At 40.8% G+C, this 26,626-nt stretch overlaps 1 protein-coding gene and 1 pseudogene across 7 annotated transcripts in view, besides 1 other annotated feature; one reads left to right on the top strand and one right to left on the bottom strand.

Moving 5' to 3' along the window:
• PLAC1 (placenta enriched 1) overlaps positions 1–26,626 on the top strand; it is a 198,485-nt gene that overhangs the window by 151,678 nt on the left and 20,181 nt on the right. For 5 of the 7 annotated variants that reach the window (XM_011531257.3, NM_001316887.2, NM_001316888.2 and 2 more), the window contains one exon: positions 10,523–10,594. The exons of the other annotated variants lie outside the window; for them this stretch is intronic. The gene's annotated coding sequence lies outside the window, so the exon portion shown is untranslated. The remainder of the gene's footprint in view (positions 1–10,522; positions 10,595–26,626) is intronic. 7 annotated transcript variants of the gene reach the window in all.
• RPL21P133 (ribosomal protein L21 pseudogene 133) lies at positions 4,974–5,533 on the bottom strand (annotated as a pseudogene).
• Positions 7,490–8,689: an enhancer, noted in NCBI's record as "MED14-independent group 3 enhancer chrX:133737986-133739185 (GRCh37/hg19 assembly coordinates)". NCBI's record gives its function as "activates an origin of replication core promoter dependent on BRD2, BRD4, P300/CBP and CDK7 cofactors, and independent of MED14, by STARR-seq in HCT116 cells {active_cell/tissue: HCT116}" and the evidence as "EXISTENCE:reporter gene assay evidence [ECO:0000049][PMID:35650434]".

Here is a 26,626-nt window from a genome sequence, read left to right as displayed (position 1 = left end):
GGAGACTGTGTATTTCCTTATGTATGTTTCTATATAGATATATTTCCTTATATACAAACATCTGCACAATTGTGTTTGGGAGCCCCAGGCTAAAACTAAGACCCTGACATGTTTGAAACTTTGCTGGATAGAAACTAGGGGTGGAGAAATCCTGTTTAATTGCTGCAAGTAGTTTTTAGCTTATAAGAGATGAAACATTTGATATTCATTTAGGACAAACTCTTCCTGTTTTAATGATAGCATCTCCTATGTATTGAGAGCTTCCTATGTGTCCGGCACTGTGCTAAACGCTTTACATACATAATCTCATTTAATCTTCACAGTGTCCTTAAAAGTGAGGTACTATTGTTGTCCTCCATTTTACAGAGAAGGAAAGTGATGGGAAGAGAGGTTGAGGGACTTGATTAAGGCAAGGTGGCTAATAGGTGGAAAGCTGGGGTTTGAACTGTAGTCTTAATGACTGTGCAAAACATCCTTGTGAGAACTACTTAAGTTTCTTCTCCCTGCAAATTTAAAGCAAATACTTTCTAATGAAATCAGGTGTGGTACAAGAAGCAAAAATGGCTTTGCAAGGAGGAAGATATACAAAGTCATCTACCAGGGAGGCAGAGTAGCATTTCTGCAAACTAGTTTGCTATTGGAGCAATTACATCTCGGCTGAAGAGAGAACAAGTACGGTGAGGTGATGGAGTGGAGTTTGACTTTGAGTCCCTTGAGTGCAAGAAGGCCAAGAGCCAGAGGCTGACAGGCCTGAGAAACCATAGCACCCATGGAGCTGCTTCTAAGCCCAGGGGTTCAAGTGTGACCTAGAGTTGGGCAGAGCAGACAACCAGCTCGTTGCACTAAACCTACACCTGCCTTGTGTCTCGTGCCTTTTTATCATGGTAGTTTTTAACTCGTTATTTCTGGCACACTGGAAAGTTTTCATTTTTGGGTTGTCCACTGTGCATCTAACTACCGCATTGAACTCTTATTCATTCTTTTGCGAAATTTTAATTCAGTTACACCTCTTGGGTTTCTAGATATGCAAGCATATCATTGCAAATATATATGCATATATATATACATATGTATATATGCATATATATACATATGTGTATATGCATATATACATATGTATATGTATGTGTGTGTGTGTATATATATATCTATATATATAATCTATATATCTATATCCACTTTACAGATAAAGAAACTAAGGCACTCAGAGAGGTTTAGAAATTACTCTAGGTCAGACAGCTAATAAGTGATAGTGCACAGATTTAAAAATAGGCCTACCTTCAGATCCTGAGCTGTAAAGTACTATACAATATCTCTCATACATAAATTACATTTTTATAAAAATGAGATGACACTGTATACATTCTTTGTAATGTCCTTTCACTTAATAACTTTCTTATATGCCTAGATGTATTCAATAACATAATTTTAAGGATGTATAAAATACCTTTATCATAAAAGTATAGGCCAAGCGTGGTGGCTGATGCCTGTAATCCCAGCACTTTGGGAGGTCAAGGTGGGCAAATCACTTGAGCCCAGGAGTTCGAGACCACCCTGGGCAACATGGCAAAACCCCATCTCTACAAAAAAACACAAAAATTAGCCAGCCATGGTGGTGCATACCTATAATCCTATAAGCTACTCAGAAGGCTGAGGTAGGAGGATGCACACCTATAAGCCTATAAGCTACTCAGAAGGCTGGGGTAGGAGGAACACTTGAGCCTTGGAGGTGGAGGTTTGCATGAGCCTTGATCATACCACTGCACTCTAGCCGGGGCAACAGAGTGAGACCCTGCCTCAACAAAAGTAAAATAATTAACATTTATTGAGTGCTTAAGATGGATGAGACATCTTAACATGGATTATTTCAAATAAATTTGTTTACATGAGGCAGGATTACTGGTTGTTGTAGTCATATCAGTTCAGAAACTCCAGCTTGTCACTCTCCTACTTGCTGGCACCCCAGCCTGTCACCCTCGACCAGCTTTGGAGCTGTGGGATCTGCATGGATTGTTATGCTATCCAATGCAAAATGCCCTTGTTTTATTCATATGGGTAAGGAGCAAGCAGCAAGTATCTGGACTGAGCACAGGGCATGGCAAAGGCAGCCAGAGTGACCCTCCACGTTGACAAGGATTCCTGGGAGGATTTAACATTACTAGTCTAAATTAGGGACCAAGGAAAACTGTTCTCATCTAGTTTCCTGGAAGCTTTGCAATGATACTGGAACCCTAGGAAAACCATGGCCGAGAAGAGATTTTAGGAGGTACAGGAGCCAAAGGTGAAGAGACACCATTGGTGGGTTGAGGGGGACCAGGTATAGTGAAAGCATCAACACTAACATCTTGCCCACAAATAAGATCCCTTCCAGCCAGGTGCGGTGGCTCACGCCTGTAATCCCAGCACTTTGGGAGGCCAAGGCAGGTAGATCATGAGGTCAGGAGTTCAAGACCAGCCTGGCCAACATGGTGAAACCCCGTCTCTACTAAAAATATAAAAATTATCCGGGTGTGGTGGCGCACGCCTGTAATCCCAGCTACTCAGGAGGCTGAGGCATGAGGATCGCTTGAACCTGGGAGGCAGAGGTTGCAGTGAGCTGAGATTGCGCCATTGCACTCCAGCCTGGGTGACAGAGCGAGACTGTCTCAAAAAAAAAAAAAATTTCTTCCACTGATGCACAATGTCTATTTAATGCTGCTATGCTTATACTATGAACTGAACTTTGTCTCCTCAAAATTCACATACTGAAACTCTAACCCGAAATGTGATGGCATTTGGAGGTGGGGCTTCAGGGAGGTACTTAGATTTAGATGAGGTCATGAAGGTGGGTTCCCCGTGTTGGGATTTGTGCCCTTTATAGAAGAGGAAAAGACCAGAGCTTGGAACTCCCTCACTTTCTCTTCACCCAGATGCACCAAGGAAAGGCCACGTGAGGCAGGAAGAGGGCCTTCACCAGGAACTGAATTGGACAACACCTTGATCTTGGACTTTCCAGCTTCCAAAACTGGGAGAAATCAATGTCTGTTGTATATATTTTTGCTATGGTGGCCTGAGCAGACTAAGACACTGGCCATTTACTTCAACTGATTGCCTACATTTTGAAAGTGTTAGAGAAGAATGGTTTATGCTTCTCAGATGGCTCTCAGAATTACGTTAGAAAATATATTTTATTCATTCTTTAAGAAAAATCCGCAAACAATTACCGAGTACCTGCTATGTGCCAGGCACTCTTCTAAGCAGTGACCAAGGCAGACATGATCCCTGCCTTCGTGTAGCTTACAATCTAATGGAAAAGGCAGATATTGAACAAATAATCTTATAAATAGTGATGTTATTTCCAGTTGTTATGTGGTGCTAATGAAGAAGTGAAGGAGCTATGAACAGATATAAGAGGGGCCCATGACCTGAAGAGGGAGGATGAGATGGCTTCCCTGTATGTGTGCATGCGCTTTCCAGGGCATGGTGGGAGATGACAATGACATTACTAGCAGAAAGAATGGCACCACAGGCCAGGTGTGGTGGCTCATGCCTATAATCCTAACACTTTGAGAGGCTGAGGAAGGAGGATCATTTGAGCCCAGGAGGTCAAGGCTACAGTGAGCCATGATTGCACCACTGCACTCCAGCCTGGGTGGGAGAGTGAGACCACTGTCTCTAAAAAAAGAAAAAGAGGCCGGGCACGGTGGCTCACTCCTGTAATCCCAGCATTTTAAGAGGCCGAGGTGGGTGAATCATGAGGTCAGGAGGTACAGACCATCCTGACCAACATGGTGAAACCCCGTCTCTACTAAAATATAAAAAATTAGCCGGACATGGTGGCGGGTGCCTGTAGTCCCAGCTACTCGGGAGGCTGAGGCAGGGGAATCACTTGAACCTGGGAGGCGGAGATTGCAGTGAGCGGAGATGGCGCCACTGCACTCCAGCCTGGCGACAGAGCAAGACTCCATCTCAAAAAAAAAAAAAAAGAAAAAAGAAAAAAAGAAAAAGAAGAGTGATACAATTTGATGGAATAAAGCACATTTACAGTGTTCTCCAACCACCACCACTATTTCCAGAACATTTTCATCATCCCAAAGGAAATCCTATGCCCCTTTAAGTACTCACTCCCTGTTGTTCCCTCCTCCTTGCCCTACATAACCACTGATCTATTTTCTGTATCTGTGGATGTGAACATTCTGGATATTTCATGTAACTGGGATCATATAGCAGTCTTTTTGTGTCTGGCTGCTTTCACTTAGCATAATGTTCTCAAGGTTTATCCAAATTGTAGCATGTATCAGCACTTCATTCCTTTTTATGGCTGAATAATATTCCATTGTACTGATAGACTACATTTTGCTTGTCCGTTCATCAGCTGATGAACATTTGGATTGTTTCAACCTCTTGGCTATTATCAATAGTGCTGCTAAACATTTGGGATACAAGTTTTTGTTTGAACACCTATTTCCAATTCTATTGGATATGTATCTAGGAATAGACTTGCTGGGTCATATGGTAATTCTGTGTTTAACTTACTGAGGAACAAGAAAATAGCACTACTTTTATTGTTGTAAAGAAAAACTCAACAACCAAAACATAATCATATGGAGATATATATTTGTATTTTTCTTTTGCAGCTTGAAGGAATACACATTTGTTGTCTCCATTTTTATGGTTCAGTCCAGGCACAGCTTAGCTGGGTCCTCTGCTCAGTGTGTCATGAGCCTGCAGTCCAGGTGTTGTCTAGGATGCATTCTCATCTGGAGATCTGGAGCTTGGGGTCCGCATCCAAGGTTGTTCAGGTTGTTGACAGAATTGAGTTCCTTGCTGCTCTAGTGCCGAGGCTCTCACCTCCCGGAGGCTGCCCCTCTCTCCACAACCTTGTTTGCTTCTTCATGTCCAGCAGGAAATGCTGTCTCTCTTCAGGGAGGGCTAATAGCTTTCACTTGATTACATCAGCCCCACCCAAGATAATGTTTTTTATGTTTTGTTACAGTCCAGAGGCCTTTTTTTTTTTTTTACATATATACCTATTATGCCATGAATTCATGCGGAGTAGGTTCCAGCAGCTCCGGCTCCTTCCCACTGGTTCTTGCACAGTGTGCTTCTCTGGGTGGAGCGGGCTGGTGCTTCAGTTGAACCCAGGTACCTTTCTCTTTGGCTTCCTTTTTCTCTGAACAGTTTCCTTCATGCAATTCAGGATGCTATTTTTTGGCTCTTAATAAAGTGCTTAATATGCTCAATATGCACATTAATTCTCTTGGCAAGAATCTTAACCTTGTGTTTTTAAAATAATGCCAACAGCACACTGGGTAACAATGTAGGCTCTTCCAGTTTTGCCATGAAAACATTTGTGGGGTATTCCTTTCTGAACAGTGCCCATTCCCTTGATGTCTACAATATCACCTTTCTTGTAGATTCACAGGTATGTGGCCAAAGGAATGAACCCACGTTCTCTAAAAGGCCTAGAGAACACGTATTGGGTGCCTCTTCTCTTTCCCTTTGTGTTCATTATTTTGGCAAAATACTAGAAGATGGTGGTTCTGGCCAAAAGTGATCATCTGTCTTTTTTATTAACTCAAAATCAGCTGATATGTGACTTTAATTACATCTTGAAGCTATATTTTAAAATATTTTGTACAGATGTAGAGGGTACAAGTGCAGACTTCCTACATGCATATATTGTACCATGGTGGAGTTTGGGCTTTTGATGTACTCATCACTCGAATAGTGAACATTGTACACAATAGGCAATTTTCTGCAAAACACATGATTTCATTCTTTTTTATGGCTGGGTAGTGTTCCATGATGTATAGCTACCATATTTTCTTTATCCAATCCACCACTGATGGACGCTTAGGTTGGTTCCATTATCTTTGCTATTGTGAATAGTGCAGTGATAAACATGAGTGCAAGTATCTTTGTCATATAATGATTTATTTCCCTGTAGGTAGATACCCAGTAGTGGGACTCCTGGATCGAATGATATTTCTAATTTTAGTTCTTTGAGAATGGATCAAATGACATTTCTATTTTTTGTTCTTTCAGAACTATCCCTACTGTTTTCCTTAAGTTGTGCTAATTTACATTCTAACCAACAGTACATAAGCATTCCCTTTTCTCCACATCCTCACCAACATCTATTTTTCTTTTTAATTATAGCCATTCTGACTGGTGTAAGATGGTATCTCATTGTGGTTTTAATTTGTGTTTCTCTGATTAGTGATGTTGAGTGTTTTTTTCACATGTTTATTGGCCACTTGTATGTTTAAAGCTATATTTTTAAGCATTATGATAAGCAATCTAGCCAGATTAGTGACAAAATGAACCCTACTCTCAAGGAGGAGAATCCAAGTGAGTAATTCAGCACACGCACATCACTACAGTTAGAAAAACTACACAAATACAACTTTTTTTTTTTTTTGAGATGGAGTCTCACTCTGTCACCCGGGCTGGAGTGCAGTGGTGCGATTTTGGCTCACTGCAGCCTCCGCCTCCCAGGATCAAGCGATTCTCCTGCCTCAGCCTCCTGAGTAGCTGGGACTACAGGTGCATGCCACCACACCCAGCTAATTTTTTTGTATCTCTAGTAGAGACAGGGTTTCACCATATTGGCCAGGATGGTCTTGATCTCTTGACCTCGTGATCCACCCGCCTCGGCTTCCCAAAGTGCTGGGATTACAAGCGTGAGCCACCATGCCCGGCCACAAATACCACTTTCTATTGGCCAACCCAGGAAGAAACATGAACTTCCTTCCTCAAGTTTGAGGCTGGAGTCTTTGTCTTAGCCTTCAGTCACTAGAGTAAGACTGGTGTTCTCCTCATCCAACCATGAACACATTGAGGACAAGGGCACATCTGAGTCATCTCTGTCATCCCAGTGCATGGCACAGTCAACATTTGTTGGTGGAAGGAAGGCAGGAATGCCACCCATCCCCCCCGGGGAGATGGTCTTGGGCACAGTCTCTCTTTGCATTGCTCCTGCAGGGTACTGAGCCACCTCTACCCTCACAGCAACCTCCTCTCCATCATCCATCACTTCAGGTCACTCAATGATGAGCAAGCCAGCTGATAGCACTTTTTAGCTACACAAATGGATAAATCACAGAAACCAACATTTGTCAGACTCAGCTATCCTGATTCTTCTTGTGAACAAAATGATCATTAATTCCTTTAGACGAGTCCCCCAGTCTCCAGCCATTTGTCTCCTTTCCCCATGGGCAAATAAAAATGGGAATCTTATTAGTGGTCTCTAGTCATCTCATAGCATTGCGGGGAGAGCTGAAGCTGGATGAATGGACATCCCTGAGCTTGTGGAGTTCTCACCAAGTGGGCAGTGACTGGGTATGATCCCCTTTGGAGCCTGTCACTGCTGTTGACATTGAAAATACCGGTGTGGAAACAAATGCTGTCTTTGTCACAGGCTCAACTACAGGGGCCTCTCCTTCCCTAAGCTGGCAGCTGAGACTAAGTACTTGAGATCCCTGGGCCAGCTGTTGTGAAGTAAACGCCAGGCAGTAGGTAAGGCAAGATTCAGAACTGGGCAGAAAGCCAGGCTGGAGAGGGAGCACTGATAGGAGGGGAGCACAAAAGTTGGCAAACAAATGCTTTCCAAGTAGGTTTTAAAAAACACAATCTGGCCTCTAAAGTAGACAAAGCACCAATGGGGGGTGCAGGGGTGGGGGTGCTGCCTGAAAATGCCTGCTCTGACTATCAGCTCAAGAAGATTCTAGAACTGGAAAGGCACTGTGAGCAATGTTTCCCGAGGAGGCTTCCCTTGGAGCACAGAAAGATAGCCACACCCTTTGAAGTTAGCTGGGAGCTTACAAAGGGCAGTGTTGTTTCCACTAAGGAAGAATGATAGCCCTGCATAATGGTGTCCTTATTCTGTAAACCCCAGACCTTGTGCGATGAGGGGCAAGTGAGCCTGCAGGCCCCAGCAAAGGGGGAGGAAATGGTTGGCAAAACACATACTTTTAGCTTGCTTACTGGTCAACATGGAAGGTCTTCCCTAGGAAGATGGTGTGGTCAAAGTCAGGGGTCTGTTTCAACTCTCTTCCAAGGATGATTGCTAAATCATATCAAGATACCTTTTTAATTTGATGATGGCTGATGTAAGTTTCCAAATGCTTGCATCTTCTGTCATGTTTGATGTATTTCAGTGAATCATGCCACAAGCTGAGAGGCCCTAGAGATGAAAGGCTGATGAGAAAAAACGGATGAGCCCATTGTTTTACATCAGAATGTGAATGGTGATATTTCTGAGTAGTGGGATTCCTGTCACACAAAAGGGGAAGTCAGTAGGCTGGCAGTAGCTGCCAAGGGCAGCTTATTGGACAATTATTAGGGAATGGAATCCTAAAATTGGAATTTTAACATAGCCTTGATCAACTTTGGAATGCCTATGGTATTGCATCATACATGCTTATGTCAGGGACCACTTCCAAAATTCTGACTCATCTCCCAGGCCAATGAAACCATTTCAGCATGTGAATTACACCCCTGGTGTTGTCCAAGGGAATTTTTGTCAGCCCTGGTGCCCAGGACTGATTCCATTAGGCCTAGGAGAAGCTGTGTGGTGCAACAGAAAGAGCCATGAGGAGCCCTGAGCTCTAGTCCTAGCTCTGTTGCCAATTAACTGTCATTCCAAGTGAATCTTTTAGTGAATCTGTGTCTTGGTTTCTTCAGCAGTTGAAAAGAGACAGTTGAATTTGATGAGTTAGTCTCTTACGGCTTTAAAAATAAAAATGCATGTTTCATAGCTTGGCATTTAACAAAGAATTGTGGATATGTAAGTAATCTAATTTTATAATTTTCTTTAGGTATGAAAGGGACCTTAAACATCGTATAGTCCAACCCCTTTATCATACAGATGTAGAAACCAAGGTCCAGAAAGGGGAAGGGATTTGATCAATTAGTGCAGAATTAGGGTTAGAGATCAGGTTTCTGGATTCCCAGTCCAGTGCATTTTCCACTACATTTATTTTTAAATCAAGTAATACATGAGCATGGTTTAAAAATATCAAATAGGCAGCTGGGTGCGGTTGCTCACACCTGTAATCCCAGCACTTTGGGAGGCTGAGGCGGGTGGATCACGAGGTCAGGGGATCGAGACCATCCTGGCTAACACGGTGAAACCCCATCTCTACTAAAAATACAAAATACCCAGGCGTGGTGGCGGGCACCTGTAGTCCCAGCTACTCGGGAGGCTGAGGCAGGAGAATGGCGTGAACCTGGGAGGTGGAGCTTGCAGTGAGTGGAGATCATGCCACTGCACTCCAGCCTGGGTGACAGAGCAAGACTCTGTCTCAAAAAAGAAAAAAAAAAAAAAAAAAAAAAAAAAAAAAAAAAATATATATATATATATATATATATATATATATATATATATATATAAAATACAGAGAGCTGATAATAAAAAACAACAGTTCTCTGCCCCACTCCTCCCCATCCCCAGTCCCACTCCTCAGAGGCAACCATTTTTTAACAGATTCTGTTGGCAATTCATCTGATAGTTACTTCTGAATCTCTAAATATTACTCTGTTCCCATTCTTGATTTATCCATTTTGGACATTATCTATTAACTCCTGTTATAAAAATGGAAGATTTAGCTCACTTAACATTACTCCCAACTGCCTCTCTTTCTTCTGCCTCCCCATGGTTGATAGCAATATTTTATGAGATTTTTAAAAATTCACTTTTTAAAATAGCATGCTATTTTAAAAATTTACTTTTTTGGTGTACAGCTCTATGAGTTTAGGCAAATACATAAAGTCATGTAACTGCCACCACAATCATGATATAGAACAGTTCCATTACCCCCCAAATCCCCTCATGCTGCCCTTTGTAATTGGCTTCTCCCTTTACCCCCTACACTGATCTGTTTTGTTGCTACAATTTTGTCTTTTCCAGAATGCCCAGAAATTGAATCATATACTATATAACCCTTTGATACTGACTTCTTTCACTCAGTATAACTATTTTGAGATTCATGTATGTGTTGTTCATTCTTTTGTATTGCTGAATAGTACTCCACTGCATGGATGTACCACAGCTTATCCATTCACCAGTTGCAGACCATTTCAGTTGTTTCCAGTTTGATAGCATTATTTTTAGTTATTCTATTGGTTACTTTTTAACTGAAAATCATATACTGAAACCTCTACTTCTTGCACCATCATCCACTATATAGTAAGTAGGTCTTCTTTTTCAGAATAGTAAATGCTTTGGACTGATTGAAAAACATAATACTTTCATTTCTTTAGTCACAGTTTTAGACGGATTTAATTTGAGGGTGTGATTTTTCATGGGGTTGGGAAGGTTTGCTCAAATGCTGTCCAGCAGCCCTATTCAAGGCTACAGCCATTCTAAATGCCTCCTGTCACATAGGGGGCCTTCTCTAGTACCAGATATGCTTGTTGCTGGGAAGATACGCATGTACTTTCTGTTCTGACCGTTGCTAACTCAGGCAGTAGTTTTTGGGAAAAAGACCTTTCTTCATGTGGATTTCAGCTTTTGTCTGTCATGCTTTTTCTGTTCCAGCTGCCTTCACCAGTGAGCACAAAGCCACATTTCAAAGGAAACTGACAAATTATCCCCAGCTGCCAGAAGAAGGTTAGTTTTCTGTGTGTTCAGTGTCCCCCTTCTCTGATAACCAACAGGTTAACTTTCTAAAGGGAACTGACAAAAGCAGAAATTGTCCTTTTACCCAAATGAGTTGTGATTGTTGATTTTTTTAAAGATGTGGATTTGTAATATTCCTCTCCATTCCTACTCTAATTTATACCAGGAAATAGAGTGTAAGTGATCACAATGGAACCTCTATTGTTTGCAAGATTCATATTAATGCATTCTGGTTTTTTAAGTGCTTACAAGATCTAAATTAATTTTTAAATTAGCTAGCATAGTGTCTTTACTCAATGAGTAGCCATTTAAAGGCTGAATGATGTCAGCCCTGGCCATAGAGATTTATGTGTTGTTATATTTCATTTGCATTTTTAACCATCTTTGTACATGTGTTATGCCTCTAGCACTTATGCTGTATAACAGGAGAGAGTCTAATGCCTAGCACAGTACACTACATATAGTAGGTGCTCACTAAATGCCATTTGAATTGAAATGATCCAAAAGAGTGTCATGTATATATGATGGTAAAATATTCTGTGTTAATGCAGTGAGTCAGGCATTCTCAAACACTAATAGGAATGCAAATTGGTACAACTCTCCCACAGGGCAACTTGGCAAAATGCTCGAAAGCCTTAACAATGTTCTTATCCTTTCACCCAGTAATTCTCCTTCTAAGGATTTATCCTAAAAGGAAATAGAGATGCACAAAAAAATACAAATACATGGAAATTCATTGTGGCAATATTTAAAATAGAGAAAAAGTGGAAAAAACTTAAGTTGTCCATACTATGAAATCCTATGCAGTAACATTTATACTATGAAATGCAATGTAATTATTTAAAATCATGTTTAGAAGAATATTTAATGACATGAGTAAATGCTCATGGTCTAACTTAAGTGGGGGAAAGGAGGATACACAAACATACAGTGAAATCCCAAGTGTGTTTGTGTGTGTGTGTGTGTGTGTGTGTGTGTGTGAAGAAAAAAAATGACTAGAAAGAAATAATAGAAATATTAACAATGATTAGCCAGCCATGGTGGCACATGCCTGTGGTCCTACCTACTCAGCAGGCTGAGATGTGAGGATCCTTTGAAGTTTGAGGCTGCAGTGAGCTGTGATTGCACCACCGTGCTCCAGCCTGGGTGACCATGTCCCTAAACAACAAACCACAAAGCTATAATTATCCCTACGTTGTGGGATTATGAGTCATTTTCATTTTCTTATTTTTGTAATGAGCTTATCTTACTTTAAAATCCAAATTTTTTTAATTTGAAAGAAGTAACTACTACTTATGCTAGAGGGCTGACATTCATAAAATCCTAGTAATGAGATGTAGAACCATTTCTCCAACTAGTGTCAAATCTTCATCCTTAAAAAAAAAAAAAATGAGATCGGGTCTCACTCTGTTGCCCATGCTAGAGTGCGGTGGGCTGATCATAGCTCACTGTAGCCTCAAACTCTTGAACTCAGTGTCAACTCTTCAGATGACATGTGGATGGTTACGGCAGTGGTCAGTTTTTAGAAAAATTAAATAAAGCCCAGAAGCCATTTCAGATTTAAATGCTCTGAGGGGTGGGGTACAGTGGCTCATGCCTGTAATCCCACCACTTTGGGAGGCCAAGGTGGGTGGCTCACTTAAGCCTAGGTGTTCAAGACCAGCCTGGGCAACGTGGCAAAACCTCATTATACAAAAAATTTAAAAAATTAGCCAGGTCTGGTGACATGCACATGTAGTCCCAGCTACTCTGGAGGCTGAGGTGGGAGGATTGCTTGAGGTCAGAAGTTCCAGACCAGCCTGGGCAACATAGGAAGACCCCATTTCAACAAAGAAAAAAATGTGAAAAATAAGTCAGACATGGTGGTATATGCCTGTAGTCCGAGCTACTCAGGAGGCTGAGGCAGGAAGATCGCTTGAGCCCAGGAGTTCAAGGCTGCAGTGAGCTGTGATCATGCCACTGCACTCCAGCCTATTATTATTTCAATAATAATAATAATAATAATGCTCTGAGCCTTAGTTTGATATTGAAAGGAAAATATGTTTATCCTTTTCTCTAGGCCTAGTTAATTTTCATCCTTTTCTCTCCATCCCCACCCCTTTTTAAACTTTCCAGATCTGTGGAACAAATGTTGAGCAAACTGGAAATAAATAAAATCCAATGGCTTTAAGATACCACAAATCCCTCCCTTCCTGTGTACTAATGGCTACCTGCCCATTCTACTCCCCAGAGTGAAGGGCTAGAGTCAGCCAAAATGGAGGCTTTTCTGATTCAAACATGAAAAATGCAAATGCTCAAAAGATAGAAAAACTTAGGAAGTCTGAAAAGATTGAGACATAACATGTACAACTCTCCCTCCCCTAGATTCTTAGCTTCACGTGATATAAACTGTTGGGCTCTGCTGGGGGAAAAACCCAATCATAGAAGGCAGATATATTAGTCTGTTCTCATGCTGCTCTGCAGAAATACCCAAGCCTGGGTAATTTATAAAGGAAAAAGGTTTAATTGACTCACAGTTCCACATGGCTGGGGAGGCCTCAGGAAACTTACACTCATGGCGGAAGGGGAAGCAAACATGTCTTTCTTCATGTGGTGGCAGGAGAGAGAAGTGCTGAGTAAAAGAGAGAAAAGCCTCTTATAAAACCATCAGATCCTGTAAGAACTCACTCACTATCACGAGAACAGCATGAGTGTAGGCACCCCCATGATTCAATTACCTCCCACCAGGTCCCTCCCACGACACTTGGAGATTATGAGAACTACAATTCAACATGAGATTTCGGTGGTGACACAGCCAAACCATATCAGCAGATGTATTAAGGACAGTTCATATTTCAAAGAAATCACACAATCCTAGACCTTTAGATCTGGAAGGAAAATATTCCAGCAAGTATAGGGCTCCTTCCAAATACCAGATACTATGCTAATCCAAATGTTATCTCATAAAAAACCACCTACCATCGCACCTCATTTTATACATGAGGAAACTAAAGCCCAGAGAGGGGTTATTAACTATCTTAGCTCACATCATTTGTTGGCTGCTAAGTTGTGATAGTTCCCATATCTTCTGGAAACTCTCAAGTGAAAAGATGGGTTTTTCTAGTATAATCTTTCCTTCAGCTCCAAATATTCCAAATACTTACTGTGTACTTGTGCTTGGATGTTTTGCTAACAGCTCAAGCTAATCAGGTACAAAGTCAAACTCATGGTGTTTCCCTCATCTCCCTGTCACCCAGGATCTGAACCAAAGTCTGTTTTGCTTTTTACTGAATTTCATCCCCCACAAACAGTCTGTTAACAAGTCCTGTCAATTTTTTCCTTCAAAAACTACCGCCAGGTCCTAACATATTGTCAAGGAAACTCAACCTCTACCTCCTTAAAAAAACAACCCTTCTCGACCACTTCAGCCATACTGCTGCCTCTCTTCTGGCTTCATACAGCACTTTTAATCTGCATCACACAGTTTAGTTTAGCACTTGTCATTCAGGGGCAATTAGCATGTGCTCAGCAGCATTCACTCATGCAACAAGCATGTATTGAGTGTCTACTATATTCTACACCCTGAAATGGAGAATTCACTTTTCTTGTTTTCCCATATAGACATCAAATACCCTGAGAGTCGAGGCCACATCTTTCTTCATAGTTTCTTAAACACCCAGTGCAGTTCTGGGCACATACTGAAGATCTGTTAGTTAAAGAGCAGTACAGACTCAAGGAATCTGTCACCAGTTCAGCAGCTGACGAGCTCAGCTCAGGGGACACTTTAGTCTATAGTTCTGCTTCAACATCTCACAAGCTACACGAGTATGATCCACTCATTCAACAAAGACAACGTATTAAAATGTGAGTTTTTAACACCATACCTTCAGAGATAAGTAATGAGATCTAATAACTAATCAGAGACGTGGGATCCTAAAAGTCAACTTCTGCTTTTAGAAAGATGGAGTAGATGTACTTTTCCCTATTCCTTTCACTAAGTACAACTATAAACCCTAGTTATTATATATACAACAAACATAAGACAACCAAGAAAGGTGGAGAGAAGATAGACTGACTAAGGACCTTGAGACTCAAAGAGTGACATGAGTTCGTGAGTTCCCTGAGCTTTCTTTTTGCCTCAAATATCCCAGACTGGCTGCTAGAGAAGCTAGCAATTCAGAAACACCAGTGGGAACAGATTTTTCTAAAGTCCCAACAAAAGCCTACTCTCTCTAGCCAAAGGACCAGAAAAGGGGCATCCTAGAAAGACAGAAAACTTTTAGACCATTACTGCTCTACTATAGCCAAACACCACAGGAAAAACTGCAACCCTCACCTCCAACTGTCCATGCAAAGGCTGAGTGGTGAGCCTGAACTTCTACCCCAATTTGGCAGTAACAAGGCAACCCTTCCAGTTTTTTCTACTAGAGCAATGTCAGAAAAAAACCACTAAAACCTAAGGTTTAAATAAGATCCAGAGTCTCATGACATAATATCCAAAATGAACAGTATTCAGTTGAAAATCATTCATCATACCAAGAACCAGGAAGATTTCAAACTGAGTGAAAAAGACAGTCAATTCATGCCAATACTAAGATGATGAGATAGAATTATCTGACAAAGATTTTGAAACAGCTATCATAAAAATGCTTCAATGAGCAATTACAAACATGCTTGGAACAAATAAAAACGGAAAGTCTCAGTAAGCAAATAAGAATACATAAAGAACCAAATGTAGACTTTAGAACTGAAAAACACAATAACCAAAATGAAAATCTCAGTGAATAGGGTGAACAACAGAATGGAGGGGACAAAGGAAAAAAATCGGTGAACTTGAGTATATAACAACAGAAATTATGCAGAGAGCAAATAGACTGGAAAAAAATAACAGTCTCAGGGACCTGTAGAATTATTACAAAAGATATAACATTCATGTCATTGGAGTCCTGGGATGAGAGGAGGAGACTAGGACTGAAAAGTATTTCAAGGAATAATGGCTGAAAATTTTCCAAATTTGGCAAAAGACATACAGATTCAAAAAGCTTAGAGAATCTCAAACATGCTAAACCCAAAGAAATCCACACTAAGACATATCATAGTCAAACTTCTGAAAACTAAAGACAAAGAAAACAATCTTGAAAGCAGACAGAGGAAAAACAATGATTTGGCCAAGCAGAGTGGCTCGTGCCTATAATCCCAGCAGTTTTGGGGGCCAAGGCGGGTGGATTGCTTGAGCCCAGGAGTTTGAGACCAGCCTGGACAACATGGTGAAACCCCATCTCTGCAAAAAGTACAAAAATTAGCCAGGTGTGGTGGTGCACACCTGTAGTCCCAGCTACTCGAGAGGCTCAAGTAGGAGGATCACTGAGCCCAGGGAGGTAGAGGCTGCAGTGAGCCATGATCATGCCACACTGAACTTCAGCCTGAGTCACAGAGTGAGGCTCTGTCTCAAAAAAGAAAAGAAAAACAATAATTTGACAGAGAAACTGATAAACAATTATTTAAATGGCAGTTGATTTCTCATCAGAAACCATGTGACCAGAAGGAATTGGCACATTTTTCAAATGCTGAAAGAAAAGAACTAAATCCTATATCCCACAAAAATATCCTTCAGGAATGAAGTGGGAATCAAGACATTCTCAGATGAAGGAAAATTAAGAGAACCTGTCTCCATCAGAGCTACTCTAAAATAATAGCTAAAGGAAGTTATCTAAACAGAACAGCAATGATAAAATAAATCTTGGAACATCAAGAAGCAAGAAATAATACAATAAGCAAAAATATGATGAACACAATAGACTTTCCTTCCTCTTTGAGTCTTCAAAATTTTGTTTGATGGTTGAAGCAAAAATAATAATACTGTCTGATATAGTTCTAATTGCATGTAGAGGAAATATTTAAGTTGGTTATATCATAAACTAGGGAGATAAAGAGACATTAACAGAAGTAAGGTTTTTATACTTCACTCATACTGGCAAAATAACATTACCAGCAGACTGTGATAAGTTATGTATATACAATGTAATACCTAGAGCCACTCAGAATCTATACAAAGATATACACTCAAAACCACTACAGATAAATCAAAATGTTACAATATTCCCCAAAATATTCAAATACTCATAGGAAGGCAGGAAAAAGAAAACAAAATTAAAAATAAAATGGCAGACTTAGATCCTAACATATCACCAATTACATTTAATGTATATAAGGTCTAAATACACCAATTAGAAGACAGAGACTGGCAGAGTGGATAAGAAAAAATGACCCGACAGTATGTACTCTACAAGAAACTCACCTTAAATATAATGATATAAGACAACTGAAAGTAAAAGGAAGGAAACATATTTATCATACAAGCATTAGTCAAAACAAAGCATGAGTGTCTATATTAATATCAGATAGACTTCAGAGAAAGAAATTATCAGATATATATATATATATACACACATTATATATATATTATATATATAAATGGCTCAACCCACCAAAAAGATGTAGCCATCCTAAATGTTCATGCACCAAACAACAGAGCTGTTTGTGAAGCAAAATATGTGAAGCAAAAACTGATAGAACTGAAAGAAGAAAATCCACAAAGCCACAATAGTTGGAAATTTCAACACTCCTCTCTTACAATTGATAGAACAACTAGACAGAAAATTAGCAAAGATATAGAACTCAACAATACCAACAATAACAGGATCTAATCAACATGTATAGAATACTCCATCCAACACAAGCAGAATACACATTCTGTAGAACATAGAACAAGATAGACCATATTCTGAGCCATAAAAGAAACCACAACAAATTTAGAAGAATTGCAATTGTACATAGTGTGTTCTCTGACAATAATGGAATCAAATTAGAAATTAATAACAGACAGATAACAGGAAAACATCCAAACACTTGGAAAATAAACAACATTCTTCTAAATAATCTATAGGTCAAAGAGGAAGTCTCAGGAGAAATGTTTAAAATACATTGAACTGGATTGAAAATAAAACTATAATATTTCAAAATTTGTGGGACACAGTAAAAGCCACGTTGAAAGGGAAATTTGTATCACTAAATTATACATTAGAAAAGAGGAAAGGTCTCAAGTCAGTAATCTAAGCTTCCACCTCAAGAACCTAGAAAAAGAACAAATAAACATAAGGCAAGCAGAAGGAAGGAAATAATAAAGATAAGAGTTGAAATTGAAAAAAAGGAAAACAATAGAGAAAATTAATGAAACAAAAACCTGTTCCTTTGCAAAAAATAAAAAATTTAATGAAATTGACAGACCTCTAGCAAGACTGATCAAAAAAAGAGAGAGAGAGAGAAGAAACAAATTACCAGCATCAGAAACAGAACAGGGGATACTACTACAAACCCTGCAGACATCAAAAGGTTAACAACTTTATACACACAAATATAACAATGAACCAATTCCTTGAAAAACACAAACTACCACAATTCACCCAATATAAATACAGGTAGTAGCTCCATAACTATTAAGGAAATTAAATTCATAATTTAAAAACTCCCCAAACAGAGATCTCTAGGCTCAGATGGTTTCACTGGAGAATAAACATTTAAAGAAAAAGTAATGCCAATTGTACATAATGTCTTCCAGAAAATAGAAGTAGAGGAAATATTTCCCAATTCATTTTATTAAGCTCATATTACCCTGATACTAAAATCAGGCAAAAACAGTAAAAGAAAACTGCAGACCAATATCACTCATGAATGTAAATGCAAAAATTAATAACAAAATATTAGCAAACAGACTTCAGCAATATGAAGGAATTATACACCATGACCAAGAGAGGTTTATTCCGTGTATGCAAGTCTGGTTCAATATTTAAAAATCAATCAGTGTGAACCACCATATTAACAGCTAAAGAAGAAAAATCACATGATTATATCATTTGATGCCAAAAAAATGACAAAATTCAGCATCCATTCATGATAAAATCTCTCAGCAAACAGGGAATAGAGAGGAATTTCCTCAACTTGATAAACAGCATCTGCAAAAAAACCCCTACAACTAACATTTTACTTAATGGTGAAAAACTGATTGTTTTCACCCTTAGATCAGGAAAAAGGCAAGGATGTGCACTTTCACTACTCTTATTCATCATAGTGCTGGACATTCTAGCTAGTACAGAAAGTCCAGAAAAGGAAATAAAAGGCATACAGATTAGAAAGGAAGAAAGAACATTTTCTTATTTTCAGATGACATGATGGTCTGTATAGAGAATAGCAAGAAAACTATTTTTTTTAAACTCCTAAAACAAATAAATGAGTTCAGCAAGGTCAGGAGATACATGCATAAACAAAAGATAAGCATACAATTGTATTTCTATATATTAATAATGAATACATAAACACCAAAGTTAAAAATACAACACCATTTATAATTGCTCAAAAAAGACTTAGGTGTATATCTAACAAAACATGAATAAGACTTGTATGTTGAAAACTACAAAATGCTGAGGAAAGAAATCAAATATCTAACTCAATGGAGAAGCATACCATGTACTTTAAATGCTTTAAATCCATTTTAAAGATTAAGCATAAAGGTGTCAATTATTTCCAAATTGATATACATGTTTGACATAATTCCCATCAAAACAGCAACAAGATTTTTGTACAATTTTATGTCAAATTTATACAGAAAAGTCAAAGGAACACAAATAGCTAAAGCAAGTTTGAAAAAGAAGAATAAAGTGGGAGGAATCAGTTGACCCTATCATATATCTACAGTAATCAAGACTGTGTGGTATTGGTAGAAGGACAGACACATAAATCAACAGAACAGAACAGAACCCAGAAATAGTCCCATATAAATATGGCCAACTGACTTTTTAAAAGATACACACACAATTCAATGGAGGAAAGATAGCCTTTTAAACAAATGATGATGGAGAAATTGCACATCCATGGCAGAGAAAAAAGAACCTTGTAGTAGTCACGGTTCTCCAGAGAAACAGAACCAATAGGATGTGTGTGTGTTGGGGGGCCTGTTTAGAGAGAGAAAAAGAGACACAGCGCTGGGCGCGGTGGCTCACGCCTGTAATCCCAGCATTTTGGGAGGCTGAGGCGGGCGGATCACAAGGTCAGGAGATCGAGACCATCCTGGCTAACACAGTGAAACCCCCGTCTCTACTAAAAAATACAAAAAATTAGCCGGGCGTGGTGGCGGGCACCTGTAGTCCCAGCTACTCTGGAGGCTGAGACAGGAGAATGGCATGAACCTGGGAGGTGTGGAGCTTGCAGTGAGCCGAGATCGCGTCACTGCACTCCAGCCTGGGCGACAGAGCGAGACTCTGTCTCAAAAAAAAAAAAAAAAAAAAAGAGACACAGAGAGAGAGATTGATTGATTGATTGATTGATTAAGGAATTGGCTCATGGAACTGTGGATGTTGGCAAGTCCAAAATTTGCAGGGCAGGCCAGCAGGCTGGAGACTCAGGGAAGAGTTAATGTTGCAACTTGAGTTCAAAGGCAGTCAGCTGACAGAATTCCCTCTTCCTCAGGGGAGGTCAGTCTTTTCCTTAAGGCCTTCAACTGATTGGATAAGGCCCACCCCCATTATGGAAGGTAATCTACTTTACTCAAAGTCTACTGATTTACATGTTAATCTCCTCTAAAAAACAAAATACCCTCACAGCAACATTCAGAGGTGTTTCACCAAATATCTGGGTACTGTGGCCTAGCCAAGTTGACACATAAAATTAACCATCACAAAGCTCAGTCTAAGACTCATACTTTATACAAAAAGTATCTGAAAATGGATGATGGAGTTAAACATAAAAACTATTTTAAAATGTTTAAATAAACAGTAGAAAATGTTTGGGATCTAGAGCTTAGGCAAAAAGGTCTTAGACTTGATCAAAAGCACAATCCATGAAAGGAAAAATCAATAAATTGGACCTGACCAAAATATAAAACATTTGCTCTGTGAAAGAAGATGAAAAGACAAGTTATATAACATAATGGGAGAAAATATTTTCAAACCACACATCTGACAACTGACACATATCTAGAATACGTTAAGAACTTTAAAAAACTCAACAGTAAAACAAAATCCAATTAGAAAATGGGCAAAGGACATAAAGATACATTTAACCAAAGAGGAAACATGGATTGTAAAGACATGACAAGATGTTCACCATCATTAATCATTAGGGAAATGCAAATTAATACTTCAATGAGATGTCACTACATACCTATTAGAACAGCTGAAATAAAAAAACAGTGACAATACCAAATGTTGGTGAGAATGTAGAGAAACTGGATCTCTCAGACATTGCTAGTGGGAATGTGAAATGCTACAGCCACTCTGGAAAACTCTTTGGCAGTTTCATATAAAACTAAACATGCAATTACCATAGGACCCAGCAATCACACTCCTGGGCATTTATCCCAGAGAAATGAAAACTTATGTCCACACAAATTCTCATACATGAATGTTTATAACAGCGTTATTTGTTAACAGCAAAAAACTAGCAACAACCAAAATGTCCTTCAATAAGTGAGTAGTTAAACAAACCGTGCTACAATAAAAAAGAATGGACAATAACTTGGATGGACCTTAAGGGTATTACCTTGAGTGCCAAAATTGTTTGCACAAAGATCTCCACTCCTCACTCCTCTGCCATTGCAAACATGCTAGCTTCGATTCATTGGGATTCAAAAGACAAATTGGCAAAAGAAGCACCCAGGTGATTTCAATTTTGTAGCAGTGTATGAGAAGTGGCAATCTCTGAGGCAATGTTTCTTAAATATTATTATCCCATACCTGCAAGACACACATATTCACACATGTGTATGTGTACACACACACACACACATTTCCAAGATGACAGATTTTCATGCAATGAGATTTTTGCCTGTATTGATTCATTTTCAAAGATGAAAGATAGAGACCTACCTGAGCTGTGCTCGAATGAGGGGAAAGGGTGATGGTTGGTAGTGGCATAAGGAAAATAGCAGGGAAGAAAGGAAGATAACACAGAGTTGCATGAAGAGGATTGTGCTGACCTGGGCTCCAGCTCTGTAGTGCTGGTCTTGGCCATTCTCTCGACATGTGCTGTCTTCCCCATCTGCAGCCCCAACTCTGTATCTGACAACTGATGTTAAAATGTCTCTTCTGGCCAGGTGTGGTGGCTCATGCCTGTAATCCCAGCACTGTGAAAAGCTAAGGGGTGGGGTGGGGGGGGAGGGTGGATCACTTGAGGTCAGGAGTTCGAGACCAGCCTGGCCAACATGGTGAAACCCGGTCTCTACTAAAAATACAAAAAATTAGCTGGGCGTCCTGGCTTGAGCCTGTAGTCCCAGCTACCCAGGAGGCTGGTGGGAAAATCGCTTCAACCTGGGAGGCAGAGGTTGCTGTGAGCCAAGATCACACTCCAGCCTGGGTGACAGAGTGGGACTCTGTCTCAAAAAAACAAAAAAGTCTCTTCTTCAGGGAGGCCTTGCCAGATCCCGAGAATAGGTTAGATCCCTCTGTTATGCATTCTTTATTATAACACTTGCATATAACCCTTGTATCATTTATCGCAAATGTAATTACACATTTTTGAGATCAACTATCTAATACTAAGTAATGATGTGTGAATTTATCTATTTACTTCGTGTCTCCCATTTGGGACTGTAAACTCCATTAATGTAGAAACCCTGTGTTAGTTCCCTTTTTGATATTCCCAGCACCTAACACAATACTGGTCCAAAGAAGGTGCTCAGTACGTATATGTTGGATGAATGAAGCCAGGTAATAAGACCCTGATTGACTTAAACACAGTTACTCAAAATCATGTTAAGGAAAAATAAACTTTCATTTTTAATTTATTTATTTATTATTTATTTATTTATTTATTTTTGAGATGGAGTCTCACTCTGTTGCCCAGGCTGGAGTGCAGTGGCGTGATCTTGGCTCATTGCAACTTCTGCCTCCCAGGTTGAAGCAATTCTCCTGCCTCAGCCTCCCAAGTAGCTGGGACTACAGGCACGTACCACCACGCCCGGCTAATTTTTTGTATTTTTAGTACAGATGGGTTTTCACCATGTTAGCCAGGATGGTCTTGATCTCCTGACCTTGTGATCCGCCCACCTTGGCCTCCCAAAGTGCTGGGATTACAGGCGTGAGCCACCGCGCCCGGCCCATTTGTATTTATTTTCTCTCTTACAAAAGAGGAAAAACATCCCTATCCCACATTGGATAAGACTGAATAGCTACAGGGATGCCCTGGAATAAAAAGTACTGTTTGACTACATGGACTAATGATAGGAAAGCAATGGTTTCCTACCCTTTGAGTCTGGGGGTCCACTGTATTTTTTTTTTTTTTTTTGAGACAGAGTCTTGCTCTGTCACCCAGGCTGGAGTGCAGTGGTGTGATCTCAGCTCACTGAAACCTCTGCCTCCCCGGTTCAAGCAATTCTCCTGCCTCAGCCTCCCAAGTATCTGGGAGTAGAGGCATGCCCCACCACGCCCGGCTAATTTTTGTATTTTTAGTAAAGATGGGGTTTCACCATGTTGGCCAGGCTGGTCTCGAACTCGTGACCTCAAGTGATCCACTCCCAAAGTGCTGGGATTACAGGCATGAGCCACTGCGCCTGGCCCCATTGTATGTTCTTTGAGGTACAGAATCCCAAGCCCTGAATCTTCTGCACATGAAAATGCAGACATCAGTACTCATGTATCCATCACTGGAGGGGTTTCTTTCCACCCACAAAATATCCCTTGAAATCATCCAGTAGAGCCCAGGGGTTGATGGAACCATTTGCTACTCAAGCTAAAAATTACGATTTCCATCCCCCATACTTATTTTCCCCAAGGGAACAAGCGAATTAGGCAAGCACAAAGGATTTGAGAGGAGGCTGCACTTTAGACTTTGACTTTAGGACCCCAATATTCTTCCTCAGGCTTCTCCAGGTTTCCAGTTCCCTGTCACTCACATTGGAGCCCTCCCTGCCAGCCAGTTAGGAAATAGAGATTCCACCAGTGGGAGAAACTGGAGGGGTTGGGGGAACATGCTCAAAGTCGGAACACTTCAGGGACAAGTCCAACCTGTTTAGCCTCTCACACATAAGCTTGCCTTTTCTTCTCAACATACCATGATTTAGTGCCAGGCCACCTAGGTTCCCCGCATCTCCTCCACCCAGTCCCTTCAGGGAAACAGGGTCCTTTCTGGCTGAGTTCCATGTTCAGTATCCAGTGCTCTCCTCATGGCCACCTGACACCGGAGCTGTTGCTCAACCCCTCCCTTGATCGGATGCCCTGTATTGCTTGAACTCATTTTTCTCCCTGGGCCCCTAAATCAGTCAAATTTTTCCCCAGCTGCTCTTCTGCTCTCTGCTACTCTTGATTGAATTCATCCCTTCTCTCAAATGTCTCCTTCTCACTTCCTCCAGCTTGTGTTTTCTCCATCCTTCAGTATTCTCCAGGCTCCTCTCTCTCCTGGCCAATGGTGCTCTGGTGAGATCATTTTCTTCACAGCACCCTCACCCCACATCCATCCTGGGCCTGCTCCCCAGCTGTAGATGCGGTCATTTATTCACCAGCATTTTGCAATCACCAAACAACCACAGGTTCCTGTGGGTTCCCTACACAAGGAGGGTCTAACTCCAGCACACACATAACAGAAAAGAGGGTTCTACGGGAGGCAGAGGTTGCAGTGAGCCAAGATCGTGCCACTGCACTCCAGCCTGGGCAACAGAGCAAGACTCTGTCTCACAATAAATAAATAAATAAATAAATAAATAAATAAATAAATAAATAAATAAAATAAAGAGTTCTAGAAAAAAAGGGTGCAAGATTCAGATATTACTGAGTTTGAAGATGAGAGTATTTTTCAGCAAAACAGCTAGAAAATCGCTAGCTTTCCCCCTAAAGAGGGGGTAAGCTAATCAAATCATAGTTAAAATCTATTCAAGGGTGTTTTTATATCACTTTCCTATATGCATCCTCTTTGTATATAAACCTTCTTCAAAATGCTCTCAGAAAGAATACAACAAGTACCAGAACCTTATAAATTGGGCTTTTCTAGGGTCAATCACATTTTTAAGTGGGGGTAAAACTGTACCAGTTCATAGAAATAAGAAATATCTTGACAGTTGTTTTATTCTGCATGAAACGTGCCCTTTTTCTTACAGTTTGGAGGTTATGAAGGGAGGTAACAGAACAACATCGATTTTAATCCCTGTCCCCTTCCCGCACTGCCTGCCTCATTGAAAGCTAGTGGGTCTTATGAACAACCTTAAGATGCCTGCGAGCCACGGCAGAGGCCACCATGAATAGCACTTGAATGAAGTGAGAGAAAAAGGAAAATTGGGAAGCATCTTACTGGTGCCATCTCCCCTACTTACCATTTTCTGTGATGTACCTGGGCCCTCTCTTCATGAAATTGTTCTGGAGAACTGAGGGATTTAAAGGGCTACGCCTCCCTAGAGCAGTCTGCATCTTAACAGGATCCACAAGTGGAGGCTTTTTTTTTTGAAACAGGGTCTCACTCTGTCACCCAGGCTGGAGTGCAGTGGCACAATCATAGCTCACTGCAGCCTCGAAATCCCAGGCTCAAGCGATCCTCCCAGCTCAGCCTCCCAAGTAGCTGGGATTATAGGTGCCAACAACCATGACCGGCTATTTTTTAAATTTATTTATTTATTTATTTATTTATTTTTGTAAAGACAGGGGTCTCATTTTGTTGCCCAAGCTGGTCTCAAACTCCTGGCCTCTAGTGGTCCATCTTTCTTCCTCGGCTTCACAAAGTGCTGGCATTATAGGCCCCAGCCACCGCACCCAGCCCATAAAGGGAGGCTTAAGGAAATGTCTGACTTCTGTGGGGAGAGAACCAGCTGTGGAGTGAGCTCAGCCTGGCCTTGACTCCTGGTCACTTACTAGGATGTGACCTGCATGAGCAAGTCATCCAAAGTCTCTAGGCCTCAGTTTCCTCCTCTCTCACATGGGAATAATAACAGTCCCTACCTCAGAACACTGTGAAGCCTACATGAAGCAAGGCTCACAAAGCCCTAAGTGCAGTGCCTGGCATGTTGTTAGTACTCCATAAATGTTAATGTGGGCTGGGCGCGGTGTCTCATGCCTGTAATCCCAGCACTTTGGGAGGCTTAAGGCGGGCAGGTCACTTGAGGTCAGGAGTTCGAGGCCAGCCTGGCTAACATGGTGAAACCCCATCTCTACCAAACACACACACACACACACACACACACACACACACAAATTAGCTGGGCGTGGTAGTGCACACCTGTAGTCCCAGCTACTCGGGAGGCTGAGGCAGGAGAATCACCTGAACATGGGAAGCAGAGGCTGCAGTGAGCCAAGATCATGCCATTGCACTCCAGCCTGGGTGACAGAGTGAGGCTCCATCTCAAAAAAAAAAAAAAAAAAGAAAAGAAAAAGAAAAAAAAATGTTAGCGAGGAGAAGGAAGAGGAGGAGAGGGAGAAGGCGGCAAGATGACCTTGGAGTCCCCTGGAAAGAAGGGGCCTAGCTGCCCTCTGCGTCCTTCCCCTACCACTCTTCCTTTCACGGCCTAATCCAAAGGTGGCTTCACGGCCCCTCGGGTTTAACAGCTGAGACTTTGTTTCCAGACTCACAGGTGTGCTGTAGTGAGCACCTGGGTGGAATGTTGCTCTCTGTTTCCTGCAATTACTAAATCGCTTTAAGGGGAATGCTGTACATTTTTTTTTCAAATGAAGTCTGTGCTTGTATTTGCTCACAGGGAATTTTAAAATTGAGGAGATGATGAGCTTGTTTACTAAATAAATATGTGTGTTTGGACCATTTGCCTTCTCCTCCCTCCAGATGCCCTCTCCTCCTCCCCTCGCTGTGGGCTTCAAAAGCAGGGCAGGCGGTGGGGCAGGAAAATGCCAGTTGTTGGTCTTCTTGGACCCAACAATTATTTACAGAGCACAGGATTTACAGTCAGGAAGAATTTTTTTTTTCACAGAAATGGGCAAATCCTAGATGCTCTCTATGTATACAAACTTCCTTTCCAACAGTTATGAAAGGACATTTTACATTTTAAATGAGAGCCCTGTT

This window comes from Homo sapiens, chromosome X, assembly GCF_000001405.40.
Source record: "Homo sapiens chromosome X, GRCh38.p14 Primary Assembly".
NCBI classification, from domain to species: domain Eukaryota; kingdom Metazoa; phylum Chordata; class Mammalia; order Primates; family Hominidae; genus Homo; species Homo sapiens.
This window is presented reverse-complemented; position numbering and strand designations above follow the sequence as displayed.